The sequence below is a fragment of the Homo sapiens genome, chromosome 3, assembly GCF_000001405.40.
Source record: "Homo sapiens chromosome 3, GRCh38.p14 Primary Assembly".
Classification (NCBI taxonomy): domain Eukaryota; kingdom Metazoa; phylum Chordata; class Mammalia; order Primates; family Hominidae; genus Homo; species Homo sapiens.
The window spans coordinates 171,860,886-171,874,980 of NC_000003.12; positions in this window are offsets into that span (position 1 = coordinate 171,860,886).

A 14,095-nucleotide genomic window follows, 5' to 3' on the forward strand; every position below is an offset into this window, starting at 1 on the left:
GGCTAATAATACCACTAATGATATGATAGTAATAGAGGCTTACTATGTGTCAGTGTACTTCCCTACTCTACGGTTAAAGTGCATGGCTCTGGCCTCCAGGAGAGTTGGAGTAGGGCCTCTGGGAGAAGAGCAGAAGTGACCTGATTCTAAACTCCTACAGCTGATGCTGATCCTTCGTGGGTTGAACAGCTTCCCTTTGGAAAGAGATACTTCCCACTGCAAACTCTCATGCTGGCTTTATGATTTAGATTAGTATCATATTGGGGTCAAATGAATTTGGATAGTGTTAGCCAATTTTTTTTTCAGGTTGATACTATCCACCCCAACCAGCAAAGCTGGAATACAAAAATTTGGCACTCTTGATGCCTTTTGTGGTCAGTTCTGTCCTCTTCAACTTCTACGCAAGTCTGCAAAGGAAATCCTGTGCGTTCTTAGGAACAGAGTTGATTTTACAAGGAGGCCTGCCAAGAGTTGAGGGAAGCAAACCAAAATCACCTCCCCCACTGTACTGCCAGGGCATCTGGAAGTTTAGTATTTGAGATTTCTTCCTTGTGGCAAACGTCCATACTTTCTGGAGCCCTTTGCTAAAAGGAATGCATGCCTAGAAGCACCACACATTTCTGAAGTGCTGGCAGTCACGACCCCTCAACATGGGCCGTTCATCAGACATCTGGCTGTCACCTTAGGCATAACACAGAGGTTTAATGTGGGACGGAGGGGAGGGAGAAAGGGAAAAAATATATGAGGGGCTTGGTAAGTCACCTCCATGAAGATTCAACAGTGAGGCCACCTGAAGTGCCTGGGGAGAGAGAAATGAATTGAAAACAGAGATGAGCTGGGTTCAAAAGCAAGCTTCTCCAGCTTTAGAGTTTAGCCTTTCCCATCTTGCTCAGGACACAACTTCTTAGTGTGTGCCTTCTCAGCTGGGTACAGGGCCAACGAAACTATATTTCTTAGAGTAGACCAGTGATGTCAAAATCATACAGGGTTCTTGTGAAGCCAGATTTCTGGGTGCCATCTAACCCCTATTATGTCAGAAACTCTAGAGTCGGAGGCACAGAGTGTGCGTTTTTAACACATACCCCAAGAAATCTGATGGCCAGTGAAGTTTAAGAATCATACTGTATTTTGCAAAAGATTCTCCTCCTAGCACAAGATTCTCTTAGTGTCACTTCTTGACAGTCTCAGTTTCCCCAATCTGCATAAAATGCAACACTAATTTGGGTGAGAGTTCTAGGTAAATTTAATAAGCAACATTTCCTTGGGGAGTGTTTTTGGATGAGTTGACACCATAATGGCGGCAGATCGTGTTTCATTAGTGAGGATGCGTGGCTGACGTAACAGGACACGATGTTCTGTATTATTAAATACACCACTGCGCCAAGCCCATGAGGCACACACACAGCCTGAGCAAACCTTTGCTACCATGTAGAAATCTCTGCTATATTAGGCACAATTTCCCGCAGTGAAATAAGTATATTGTTTACTAAAATTTCAGAAAATGCACAACTTTCTTAAAATGAAAAGCAGATAATTTGTCCAAATACAGAATTCTACATAATGATTCTATATTTCATTTACCCCCATACAGTTATGTTGTTAGATTCCCCACATGCAGAAAGTGATAAGCAATATCGTAAACATTTCATTAAAAATTATAATACAAAATATGTTACTATTCATTCACAATTCTTTTTGCTTATATAAGCAAAACATCGACAGTGTATTAAAAAGCTGCACTTTTAAGTGTCACCCTGAAAATTAACATTTTTAATGTAAATTTTGTGCATATCAGAAAATTCAAGAGTCATGAAAGTTTGTAAACAAAAGTGATGGTTTACAAAAAGATTTGGAAAAGTGGTCATTTTGTATTTGTACTGTCATGAACTGTGGAACAAAGTCAACTATTGTTTTTAAGATCCATACGTATCAGTCAATATTATAATGAAAAATATTCACTTCTAAGAGTTTTTTTCTATACGTTGAAAAATATGTTTTCAGAAATGAATCAAGCACCCCCTAAGGAACCACCACATCCATTATTTCTTTCCTCCCTGTGTTGCCTTGTTTTGGTAGAATCCAGGTCATCTTGTTAAAGTTCACACAGTGAAGGTGTGTGAATGTTCTGTCAATTGGTACCCAACCACAACCACAGAGAGAAATGCTTGAAAGAGACATGAAAGGTTTGATGACTTTGATAAACACAAAGGGGCGTGTGAGTCCTTGCGACTGTCCAAGGCCTCACAGGAAGGGGTGGGGGCTGAGAAGGGAATAACAGCCACCTGCTCAGAAGGCTCCATGCAGAATGTTGAAGTGACTCTGTCAGCTCCAAGACCCAGCATAGGGGGCAAACACGCATAACACAGAGTTTAAGTCGAGGAACGAAAATGCAAAACAACCATAGCCGGAATTGTCTACATTCTTCGTCCAATAAGTAATAAAGTGATGGGAAAGGAAAGAATTGGGATGCCAGACACAATGCAGCTGTCCCCTGCGGCTACTCAGCCCCTCCTCCACGGAATGGAATGGCCCTGTTTGTTTTCCTTTCATTATTCGGTGTTGTGTTTTGTGTCTTTTTTAATGAAAGGGGGAAAGAAAATATTTCCTTCTCGTCATGTGATACAGTGGTTTTACTTTTTTCAATGAACTGAGAAATATTTGCTTCACATAAGAGATGTAGTTAAACCTTGAAATGCAATCCCAAAACATACGGAGGCAGAATATTTGTCAGTGGAGGACCCTCTCCCGCCCAACAGAAGACAAATGAGCAGCATCATGCTGGCCCCAAATCTTCCAAGGGACTTACACTGGATCATTGCAATATGAATGTGCTTTGAAATGAATTCATCTATGACTCTCACCCTAAAGGTCTGGGGCCTCAGTTTCGGCTATAGTAAGGTCTTTCTGATGCTCTTGGAACTAATCCCCCTTTCGTAGATCCAATTAGAACTCATGCAGGACCAGAGAACAATAATAACTCATTGTATTTCTTCCTCACAAATTGTGTTAGGAAGTCTCCTCACATTGGTCAGTAGAGAAATCAGAAGCTGGAAAAAGAATCACAATGCAGGGCATTACTACTTCTGTTTCTCTGACATAATAACAGTGACATAAAACTGGATAAAAGAGGAAGAATTGTAGGTGTCATTTATTGGGCAGCTACTGTTTGTCAGGTGCTGTACCTCTTTTATTCCTCACATCACTCCAAAGTTCACTATGCCCATTTCACAGATGAGGGCACTGAGACAGCCATGTAGAACTAAGAATTCAGTCTCAGGTCTCACAAAGTCTGGGGTGCAGGCTCCCGGCTGCTGGACTGTGTCACCTCCTTTAGGTGGTATATCAGCAGTCCCATGTGAGTCCCACCTACTGACCTGGCATCGTCATGCTTCTCTTGGAAAATCTTTCTTACGTTGCTCACAAACAAAAACTAACATTCATATTTTAGAAATGAAGGCTATTTTTCCAGGATATTTGCATTTCATTTAATCACTGGGACCACACCAAGGGTGATAGCAACTTGCTGAGAGAGGAAATGATACTGAAGTGTTTATTGTAATGTATTAAAGTAAGTTTGATATTTTGTCAAAGAGGGAGTGGTAGGTGGGGAGGGGTCAGGATCCTGAGAACTGCTTTTTGTATTTTTTACTTTATAAATTATCATGAGGCTTAACATATTTTCCTCTTGACATGCAGTCAATTTACCCTTTTAATATAACATATTGTAGTGGGTTTTTTCCTTTGCTTCCCCATCTGAATCTAAAATGTTATTATTAATAATTTTTTTTTGAGACAGAGTCTCACTCTGTCACCCAGGCTGGAGTGCAGTGGCACCATCTCAGCTCACTGCAAACTCTGCCTCCTGGGTTCAAGAGGTTCTCCTGCCTCAGCCTCCCAAGTAGCTGGGATTACAGGCATGCACCGTCATGCCCAGCTAATTTTTGTATTTTTAGTAGAGACGGGGTTTCACCATGTTGGCCAGGCTGGTCTCGAACTCCTGACCTCAGGTGATCCACCTGCCTTGGCCTCCCAAAGGGCTGGGATTACAGGCGTGAACGGCCACGCCTGGCCATAAATATGTTTTTGAATAGATATTAAATATAACATATTTAAAACAACTAAATATATTTGAAACAAATAAAAAGCGTTTGTTTTATACAAGAGCAGAAACTTGAGTAAAAAGCAGAAGTCTCCATTTTCTATAGCCATGAAAGAATGCAGAGAAAATGGCATGTATATTGATGATATATCTGAATGGTTACAATGGTGCTAACATGTGAGTACAATACCTTTTAGAATGTAACAATGTTGGTTTGATACTGTAAATTTTACTAATTAAAGAGGAGAAGACTTGAGGCCTATTGCTGGATGTCTGGGTTTTCCCATAGGAAAGAAGAGAGAGAAACAGAGGAAGTAATTAGGGTGAAAACAATGGCGGGGTGTGGGGTGAGGAATGACACAATGACACTTCCCCTCCCAGACTGGCCAGAGAAGCCAGAAGGGACTATGTAGACAAGCTGGCAGCTCATTGCTGCACAAATCAGGTATCAGGGACTTGAGCTTCCTCATCTCTCAGACCCCAGCCAACCTCCAAGGACCTTTCCAGATCTGTCCTAATCCGTGACTTTGAAATGAAACTTCATTCCATTTGAGTAGATTAGCATCAAGGAGGTACTACATAAAGCAAGTGAAAAAGATAATTTTTAAAGAATGGAACAGCTGGCTCTCTACCTGTCCTAAGCCACACTGATGTGTCCCTGGTGTTGACCACATCACCGTGTTGCTATGTTAGCTCAAGACACAGTACGTGCTGGGAATGTTACTCATGTGAGAGCTATCACAGATTCCCAGATCACTTTAACCACTTTAGGGCAGCATCTTTCTTTGCTCAATATTCAATCTGTCATAACAAGCTAATTGCAGTCCTAAAAAAAACCTTTTATATTATTTACGTATAAAATTTCAGTTTATTTACAAAAAAAAATCTTTTATTTTTTTGAGATGGAGTAGCCAGGCTGGAGTGCAGTGGCATGATCTCAGTTCACTGCAATCTCTGCCTCCTGGGTTCAAGCAATTCTCCTGCCTCTGCCTCCCAAGTAGCTGGGATTGCAGGCGCATGCCACCACACCCAGCTAATTTTTGCATTTTTAGTAGAGACGGGTTTCACCATGTTGGTCAGGATGGTCTTGATCTCCTGACCTCGTGATCTGCCCGCCTTGGCCTCCCAAAGTGCTGGGATTACAGGAGTTGAGCCACCGTGCCTGGTCAAAAAATTGTTTTTAAATGTTTTTCCTCACTTACATCATATAACAAACCTAATTTGATAGCTGAAAAGAAAAGCTGATAGAGCAATGAAATTACAAGGTGCTGGACTGAAATTAATGCCTTTGACAAGAGGAGTATCTTCTGTTCACTAGAGCATGACTCTTCTCTTGTCATGTGTCACAGATTGTGAACCCAAAGCCTAAATACAATATTTATTATTCATACTTGCTCCTCAACATTTATTGGGTATATATTATGTGCCTGATATCTAGCTAAAGGTTAGAGACAGAAATATGAGCAAGACACATCCTGCCTGCCATTGACTTACAGGGATTAAAGGGAAATGAGGCTTGGGCCAGGAGGACCAAGAGAACAGATGAAGAATAACAGGATCTGAATTAGTCAGCAACAGTGGGTATGGAGAGGAGGTGATACCTTTTTTTTTTTTTTTTTTTTTTTTTGAGACAGAGTCTGGCTCTGTCGTCCAGGCTGGAGTGCAGTGGCGCAATCTTGGCTTACTGCAAGCTGCGCCCCCCGGGTTCACGCCATTCTGCTGCCTCAGCCTCTAGAGTAGCCGGGACTACAGGCGCCCGCCACCACGCCTGGCTAATTTTTTGTATTTTTTAGTAGAGAGAGGGTTTCACTGTGTTAGCCAGGATGGTCTCGATCTCCTGACCTCGTGATCTGCCCGCCTCAGCCTCCCAAAGTGCTGGGATTACAGGAGTGAGCCACCGCGCCCAGCCGAGGTGATACCTTTGAGAGACATTTAGAAGGTAGACTCCACAGGACTTGGTAACAGCACATGGGACAGGAGAGGAACCCAGAAAGATGCTAAAAGTTTCAGGCCTATAAGAGACCCAGACAAAGTGATTGGATTTAATGCGGGTCACACTCTTGTCACTGAGGGTAAATACTCAGTTTCACATCTCATCATTAATCAAAAGGCATTGTAAGAACTTAGTAGAGGAAATTAGAGGCCTCCTGCCTACCACTCTAGACAAAGAGGTACGGAAGCTTTTCCTGAATACTCTCCAGTTAATCCTGGTCACATATCGGATACAAATGATACCTTGCTTTGAATTTATAATAAATCTAGCACTGAATGGTGTGGACTATAAGACAGTTTTAATCTAGGCCAATTTTATTTACAACTAATTTCTGCTTTTCTTTTATTAAATCTCCCATGGCAAACAGTGTTACCTTCTCTGTGAGGCTTTTCTTCTTTCAACCATCCCCGGACAGAACAGATCACTTCTTCCTTTGTGCCAGCATTGCAGTCTATGGCAGATCCCTAATAGTACACCCTTATCATGTTCTTGATATATTGCTTCTTGACCAATTTCAAACTTTTTGAGGGCAGACAGCATGACAGTTCAACTCTGATGTGTAGCCCCCAGCATAAGGCCTGATTTAAAAAGAAAAATACAATCTGATTAACTGTCAAGTGAACTAATGCTTTTTTTTTTTTTTTTTTTTTTTTTTTTTTTTTTTTGAGACGGAGTCTCTGCTGCCCAGGCTGGAGTGCAGTGGTGTGATCTCGGTTCGCTGCAACCTCTGCCTGCTGGATTCAAACGATTTTCCTGCCTCAGCCTCCCGAGTAGATGGGACTACAGGCACGCACCACCACACTTGGCTAATTTTTGTGTGTTGTTTTTTTTTTTTAGTAGAGATGGGGTTTCACCATATTGCACAGGCTGGTCTCAAACTCCTGACCTCGTGATCCACCTGCCTCGGCCTCCCAAAGTGCTGGAATTACAGGTGTGAGCCACCGCGCCCAGCTGCCAATGCTTCTTTATTGCCTTTTCTCATGTGGGCCTCAGTTTGGAAGAAAGAAATTAAGAACTTAGAGGTCTTGCAAATAATATATTGAAAACTTCAGGAAAATACCTAAGCAAGATTAACAACAGGGATTTTCACAGATTAAGCATTGAGTAACTAAAAGCCAAGGCCATTGCACTGCACAACTCCGGAGACCACCGATCTCATTAGTCTATGAAAATGGCACCACAACAATTTGAACAGCGCCCCCTAGAGTTACGTAATATGAAGCTTTGCTAGTTGGTCAAGAAGCCTAGGCTTAATTTTAACGGACTGAGCCATCCACTTCCTTTTCAGGGTCTTGGTTAACTCATCTATAAAACAAAGTGGACTAGACCAGTATTTCCTATCATTCTGTGGTTTAAAGCCCCTTTCATAATAATAATCTCATAAAAACTCTCAGCTAAAAAATTGCATCATTTTATTATGGTACAAAGTTGTTTTAAAAGATTGTAACACAAAATTTAATATAATATTTATAATATTCATAATATAGTTAGGTAAATTTGTACTTTTTCCATTTAACAAGTACCATTCTATTTAATTAAGATTAAACTGAATATGTCATAAAAACATGATTTTTTGGACAAATGTTATAGTTAACATTGTGTTATGTTTAGGATTTTGTATACTTTAGGAGGCCAAAGTATACTAAACTTTAGAATTACATTTAACTATGTGTTACACTCAATCAAAAATCAACTAAAATATATTATATGATTTAAGGTTTGTAATTATTACATCTGATTTGTTTTATAAATAAACAAATAGGGATATGAGAAAAAGTATCAAGTTAGTATTTGTGGGCATTTCTTTGCGAATAGCACCTTGCTGATATTGCTAGACTTCAGTGACAATGAATGAAAAACTGAATCAGGCCGGGCACGGTGACTGACGACTGTAATCCCAGCACTTTGGGAGGCCTGACTGAGGTCAGGAGTTCAAGAGCAGCCTGGCCAACATGGAGAAACCCCATCTCTACTAAAAATACAAAAATTAGCTGGGCATGGTGGTGAGCACCTGTAATCCCAGCTACTCGGGAGGCTGAGGCAGGAGAATCTGAGGTACAGAAACCCAGGAGGTGGAGGTTGCAGTGAGTTGAGACCATGCCATTGCACTCCAGACTGGGCAACAGAGTAAGACTCCATCTCAAAAGGAAAAAAAAAAAAAAGAAAAGAAAAAAAGTAAAACTAAATCACATATAATCTTATATAAATATAAATATATATGCATGTATGTGTATATATATATGCCTATATAAGTATGTATGTGTGTATATATATATGTGTGTGTGTATATATATATACACATATATTTGAGACTGGGTCTTGCTCTGTCACCCAGACTGGAAGGCAGTGGCATAATCATAGCTCACTGCAGCTTCAAACTCCTGGGCTTAAGCAATCCAGTCCTCAGCCTCCCAAGTAGCTGGGACTACAGGTGTGTACCACCACATCCAGCTTATTTTTTCTTTTTAACACAGAACTATGAGATACATTCTGATGTACTTCGAATGCTAAGCAGATGAATGCAACATAGGGGTTTGGTGAAGATAATCTTGAAGAACATTGGGAAAATTATTATCATTTTTATGCTTTTTGTTTCAACATCAATGTTCGTTTTTCAACATCAGTGTTCCACATACCATCTGTCTATTTCCAAAGACCATTATGGGCTCACACCTGTAATGCCAGCACTTTGGGAGGCCAAGGTGGGCGGATCACTTGAGGTCAAGAGTTTGAGACCAGCCTGGTCAATATGGTGAAGCCCCATCTCTACTAAAAATACGAAAATTAGCTGGACATGGTGGCGCATGCCTGCATTCCCAGCTATTCGGGAAGCTGAGGCAGGAGAATCACTTGAACCGGGAGGCAGAGGTTACAGTGAGCCGAGATCACAGCACTGCACTCCAGCCTGGGCCAGAGAGTAAGACTCCATTGCAAAACAAACAAACAAATACCATGATGATTATATGAATTAGGAAAAGAAGACAATTAAAAATGGATGATAGTTTAAAACAGTTGTAGTATAAAACAATGTTCAAATGAGAAATAAACCAACACCCACCTGATATTCCCAAAGAATTTTTTTTTTTTTTTTGAGATTGTGTCTGGCTCTGTCGCCCAGGCTGGAGTCCAGTGGCGCGATCTCGGCTCACTGCAAGCTCCACCTCCCGGGTTCAAGCGATTCTCCTGCCTCAACCTCCTGAGTAGCTGGGATTACAGGCATCTGCCACCATGCCCAGCTAATTTTTTGTATTTTTAGTAGAGACGGGGTTTCACCGTGTTGGTCAGGCTGGTCTTGAACTCCTGACCTCATGACCTGTCTGCCTCAGCCTCCCAAAGTGCTGGGATTACAGGTGTGAGCCACCGCACCCGGCCCCAAAGGATTCTTCAAAAGCAAATTGATTTATTGTTAACGTTTAAATTGAAATTAAAATAGACATTCTAAAGCTTTTAACGATGCAATAACTTTTTTTGTAAAAGGTCTTCTCTGTCTCCCAGGGGTGTGGCCACCAGCAGTTGAGAAGTGCCATTCAGATACTCTCAGAGGTCTCGTCTAGTCAAACAATTTGTGTCTTAGTAAATTCAGTCCTGCCCTGCAGCAGCAGCCATTCCCATAGACATGAGGGATGCATTGGAGTGCTGCCTGAGCTACCTATTGTTTCTTGGGATGGTGAGCTAGTCTCTGATTCAGGTAGATAATGGGATATAATGTTTATTATTGGAATAACTTCAATAAATTCTATTTTCTGATCACATACTAGTAATAGGTACCAGGTATGATTTTCTAGACCAGAGGTTTGCAAACTAACTATAGCCCAAGGGCCCCAACTTGCCATCCACCTGTTTTTATATGACCTGCAAGCTAAAAATAGTTTGTATATTTTTAAATAATTGGGAAAAAACTAAAAATTTTATGACACATGAAAATTATATCATACTCAAATGTCAGTGCCTGTAAATAAACTTGTATTAGAACATAGCCATGATCACTTGTTTATATATTGTCTATGGCTGCTTTAACACCACAATGGTAGAGGTGAATAGTTGCAACAGAAGTTGCATAGCTCACAATACCTAAAATATTCATCGTGTGGCCCATTACAGAAAAGTTTGCTGATCCCTTTTCTAGAAACTTGATATGCATCTATGAAGAAAACAGACAAAAAATGTGGAGTCTATTTTCAAGCAGAAGAACACAGAATAAATAATAAACATAAAAAATTAAACAGTATATTAGAAGAGGGTAAGTGCAGTGTAAAATAAAAAAGAGACTAGGAAAGGTCGGACGGGGAGTGTGGGGGTCAAAAGAGTAGCAGATTGCAATACTACATTTCATTTTATGTCTTCCTAGCCATAGCTTAAATCTTACCTAAACTTACAGCAGGAGTATTTCAAATCTAAAATCAACTTACATGTCATAGGGAATGTACCATGGAATCTAAGAATTCTCCAAGAAAGGGTAGAGAGAAAAAGTGGATTTGCATTTCCATGCCAAAGAGCAGTGGTTTGTCGGAGAAGAATTGTTTTCACCATTATTTATGAGACATGGAGAACCTGGTGTGCGGTGGCACTTCTGAAGTCAGACAGTTTGAGGTTTAATTATCTCTTCTGTTACTAATCATCTGACTAGCCTTGAGCAAACTGATAGCAAACCTCTCTGAGCCTAAGGTTCCCCATTTATAAAATGGAGATAACCCCTACCTCACACGTTGCAAGAATGAAAAGGATATAATTTCTCATAAGAGTCCGACACAGGGCATACAATTGATAGGTGCTCAAGAAATATTCCTCCCCCTCACTCCTAATGAAATTTAAATTCTTGGCTCCCTATCAAAGAATTTGCATAGTGCCCTTTAACCTTCTGTTAATTTTTGAAAACCTCCAACCCAATCCAAACCAGACAAAACTAACAGCAAATGACCAACAAGAGTATTCAACAGAGAGCTTTCCCGCTTCCTTAGACAGGCGCATCCACGAAAGTGATGGCTTTTCCTGTTTTATGATTATGCCAGATTATTTCATTACACATGTATTTCTTTTTTATATCTTTCTGCCACCCCCTGTCACCACTACCACCAATTTTGTTCTCTGTTGATTCCTCTTAAATCCTTAAGTAGGACCATGATGCAGTTGTCTGAGTCATCCTTCCCTGGGTTCCTATGACATTAAAAAAAAGGCTAAATTAAATGTCAGAAGAGACACTTTCTTTTCTTTGATAAACTATAGAAATAAACACGTCTCTTTTTTTCTTCCTGGGGTCAAAAGAATGGACAGTAAATTTGGAGCAGTGTTCCTCCTAAATTTGCCTTATATGTGATCTTTATTTTGAAATATTTACAAAATAATTTTGATCTTTAAACTCTTTCCCTCTATGTCCTTATAAAATAAAAATTTAAATAGTTTTACATGTTAGCCTTTTAAAATTAACTTTTTTCTGATTTATATATTATGACATAAAAATTGAAATTATATTATTATCGTTATAGAAATTTTAAAATTCGAAATATAAATTTACAGTGAATGAATGTTGTCTTGAAGTTTCTCTTGTTCCTTGTGTGGTGTTTCATTAAACTGTAATTCCGTATTACCTAAATTGAGGAAACGTTTTTCTCAGCTTTTCTTCATTGCCATTACCAAAGTGACTCAAAATCTTCAAAGCACAGTTAAAACACTGAATTGTGCCGTAATGAGAAGGGCCTTCTGCATAGGGAGTGTGACCCTCCCTCCTAGACTCTCTGTCTCTTGTCTTTGGCACTCATGACAGTTTAATAGTTAGAAGGCACCTTCAAGGTCCGTTAGGCCAACTTCTCATCAAATGTCCCAAGGTCTATATGCCCCTTACAGTTCAGCCATTCCCAAGAGGCAACCCATTCAGCTATTAAGTAGCTCGAAATGTCCAGGTTCTTTCTTCATTTGGTTAGAGATCTGCTTCTTACATTCTTTATGTCTTGGTCCTGCAACTGTAGTTCTTTATAGCATAATGCAGTGGTTCTCAGATTGTGGTCCCCAGACCAGCAGCATCGGCATCACCTGGGAACTTGCATGAACTGGAAAGTGTGGGCTTGGGTCTCATCAATCTGGTTTAGGAAGTTGAACTCCAGATGACAATGATGCACACTAAAGTCTGGGATGCACAGATGTCCTATAGTAGAAAGTGGGTGGGGCTTTGGAATGAGGAACCCCTGGCCCAGAAACCCAGATCCTGGCCCTCTGTGATCTTAGGGCAACCCCTCAGTTTTCTCCTGGTCAGATGGAGCTGATGGGGGCAGCTAATTCACAGGCGTGCTGACAGAATTCAATGATACCCCATAGGTAAAGCACAGAGCAGAAAATCCAACATACTGTGAGCACTCAAAATCGGCGTGTAGTGTTATAGAGTCATGCAACGCATTTATTGGATGCCTTTGAGTAACAGTCTACATAGAGTCCATGCGTTTGATAATTAACAAGTTGAGAAAAAAGTTTACATATAACACTCTAGACATGAAACTGTTAAATACCTTCATTTTACAGATGAAAAATCCGATATTCAGAGAGGCTAAGTGACATGTTCAAAGGCACACAGCTGGTCCTACAATTGATGCCTTAGCAGCCTGAGCTCCAATTCTTGATAAAATGCCCAGTGGTCACCTTAAATTTCTTCAGAACAGAGTGGGATATAAATAAGAAAGCAAATATAAGCAAATAAATAACCAGAACACCCAATAATGGGTACGAATGCTCAAATAATGTGAGCATGATGCAGTTACTTGAGTCATTCTTCACTGGATTCCTGTGACATAAAAGGAAGTCCTGTGATTGGTGTCTGGAAGTCCTGTAAGTGCCTCCCAGCCCCTGGCTCTTCAGTCAACACATGTTTATTTGTCACTTTAATGGAGCAATAAAATATCTAGTCCTGGGTCTGGTGATTACACAAGTAGGGACTTCAAATGTGTCAGTATATTATCTGAATTACTTTAATATTTTTGTACACAATTCTGAGGAGTACAAACAGATACAAAACTTTTATGGTACCAAGTGAAGTAGTCCAGTACCATGTCTTTTAGGTTAACCGAAATCCCAGGTATAACATTAAAAATTATATTCAGATATCATGAAATATGTGGGGGTATTTCTTGCCCTTACAGTTAACAAGAAATGAAGAGTCATTTTGCTGTGCCCTTGCCTGGGAGAACTAAAAGGTTATTTCTTGCCTTCATATGCCACAAAAGTCTGTTTCACAGACTGGAAGGAATAAGCATCTTTACTTTAAACAACCTGCTTCCAGTTTTGTGTGGCTGTTGATATTATAGAACCAGTGGCAGAGGCCAAGGCAGGAAAATGGGCTGGGTTACTTATAACTCTTTGAATGTGGACACATCAGCTTGCGGGAAGGAAACTATTTAAAATGGGGCTTAGGGAAAGGGGGAAAAAAATCCCCTTTTCCCATATGAGATTCTTCCACGGTGTTGTCATGCAATCTTGAAAACCTCCATAGAACAGTAGATCACTCTCATTGGATATATGCAAATTTTCTGAGACCCAGTGGTTTCCTGCCAGGAAAAACTTATAATAACAGAGCAAGAATGCAATTTGAGCCCTTGCTTTCTGAAATCCCTGAAAGAACAGACTCATTCTTGACAGGGCAATTTCAGCCCTTGACATTCCAGGAAATAGCTCCATAATGTCATTTGGGCTGGGCTTGTAACCAGTCCTAAGATGTGGAGACACAAATGCAGCATGTAAGATTTCAAATATCAGTTCAGGGACCATTCTTGATTTTCACAGGGAGTTTAACAACAAAAACCACCAACAGAAGAAAACACAAGCAAGACATCCTAATTAAATTTAACATTGTCACTACTAATTAAACCCAATATAGGAAGAGGAAGGGTTTCTGCCAAGAAATTACAGACACATCCTGAAGCCTATTTCCTTTCCATTTCCTAGGTACTGGGTCCATGCCATAACCAGGATGTGACACCCAAACAAGACTGTATTTTGATCATTAATATATACGCATAAGT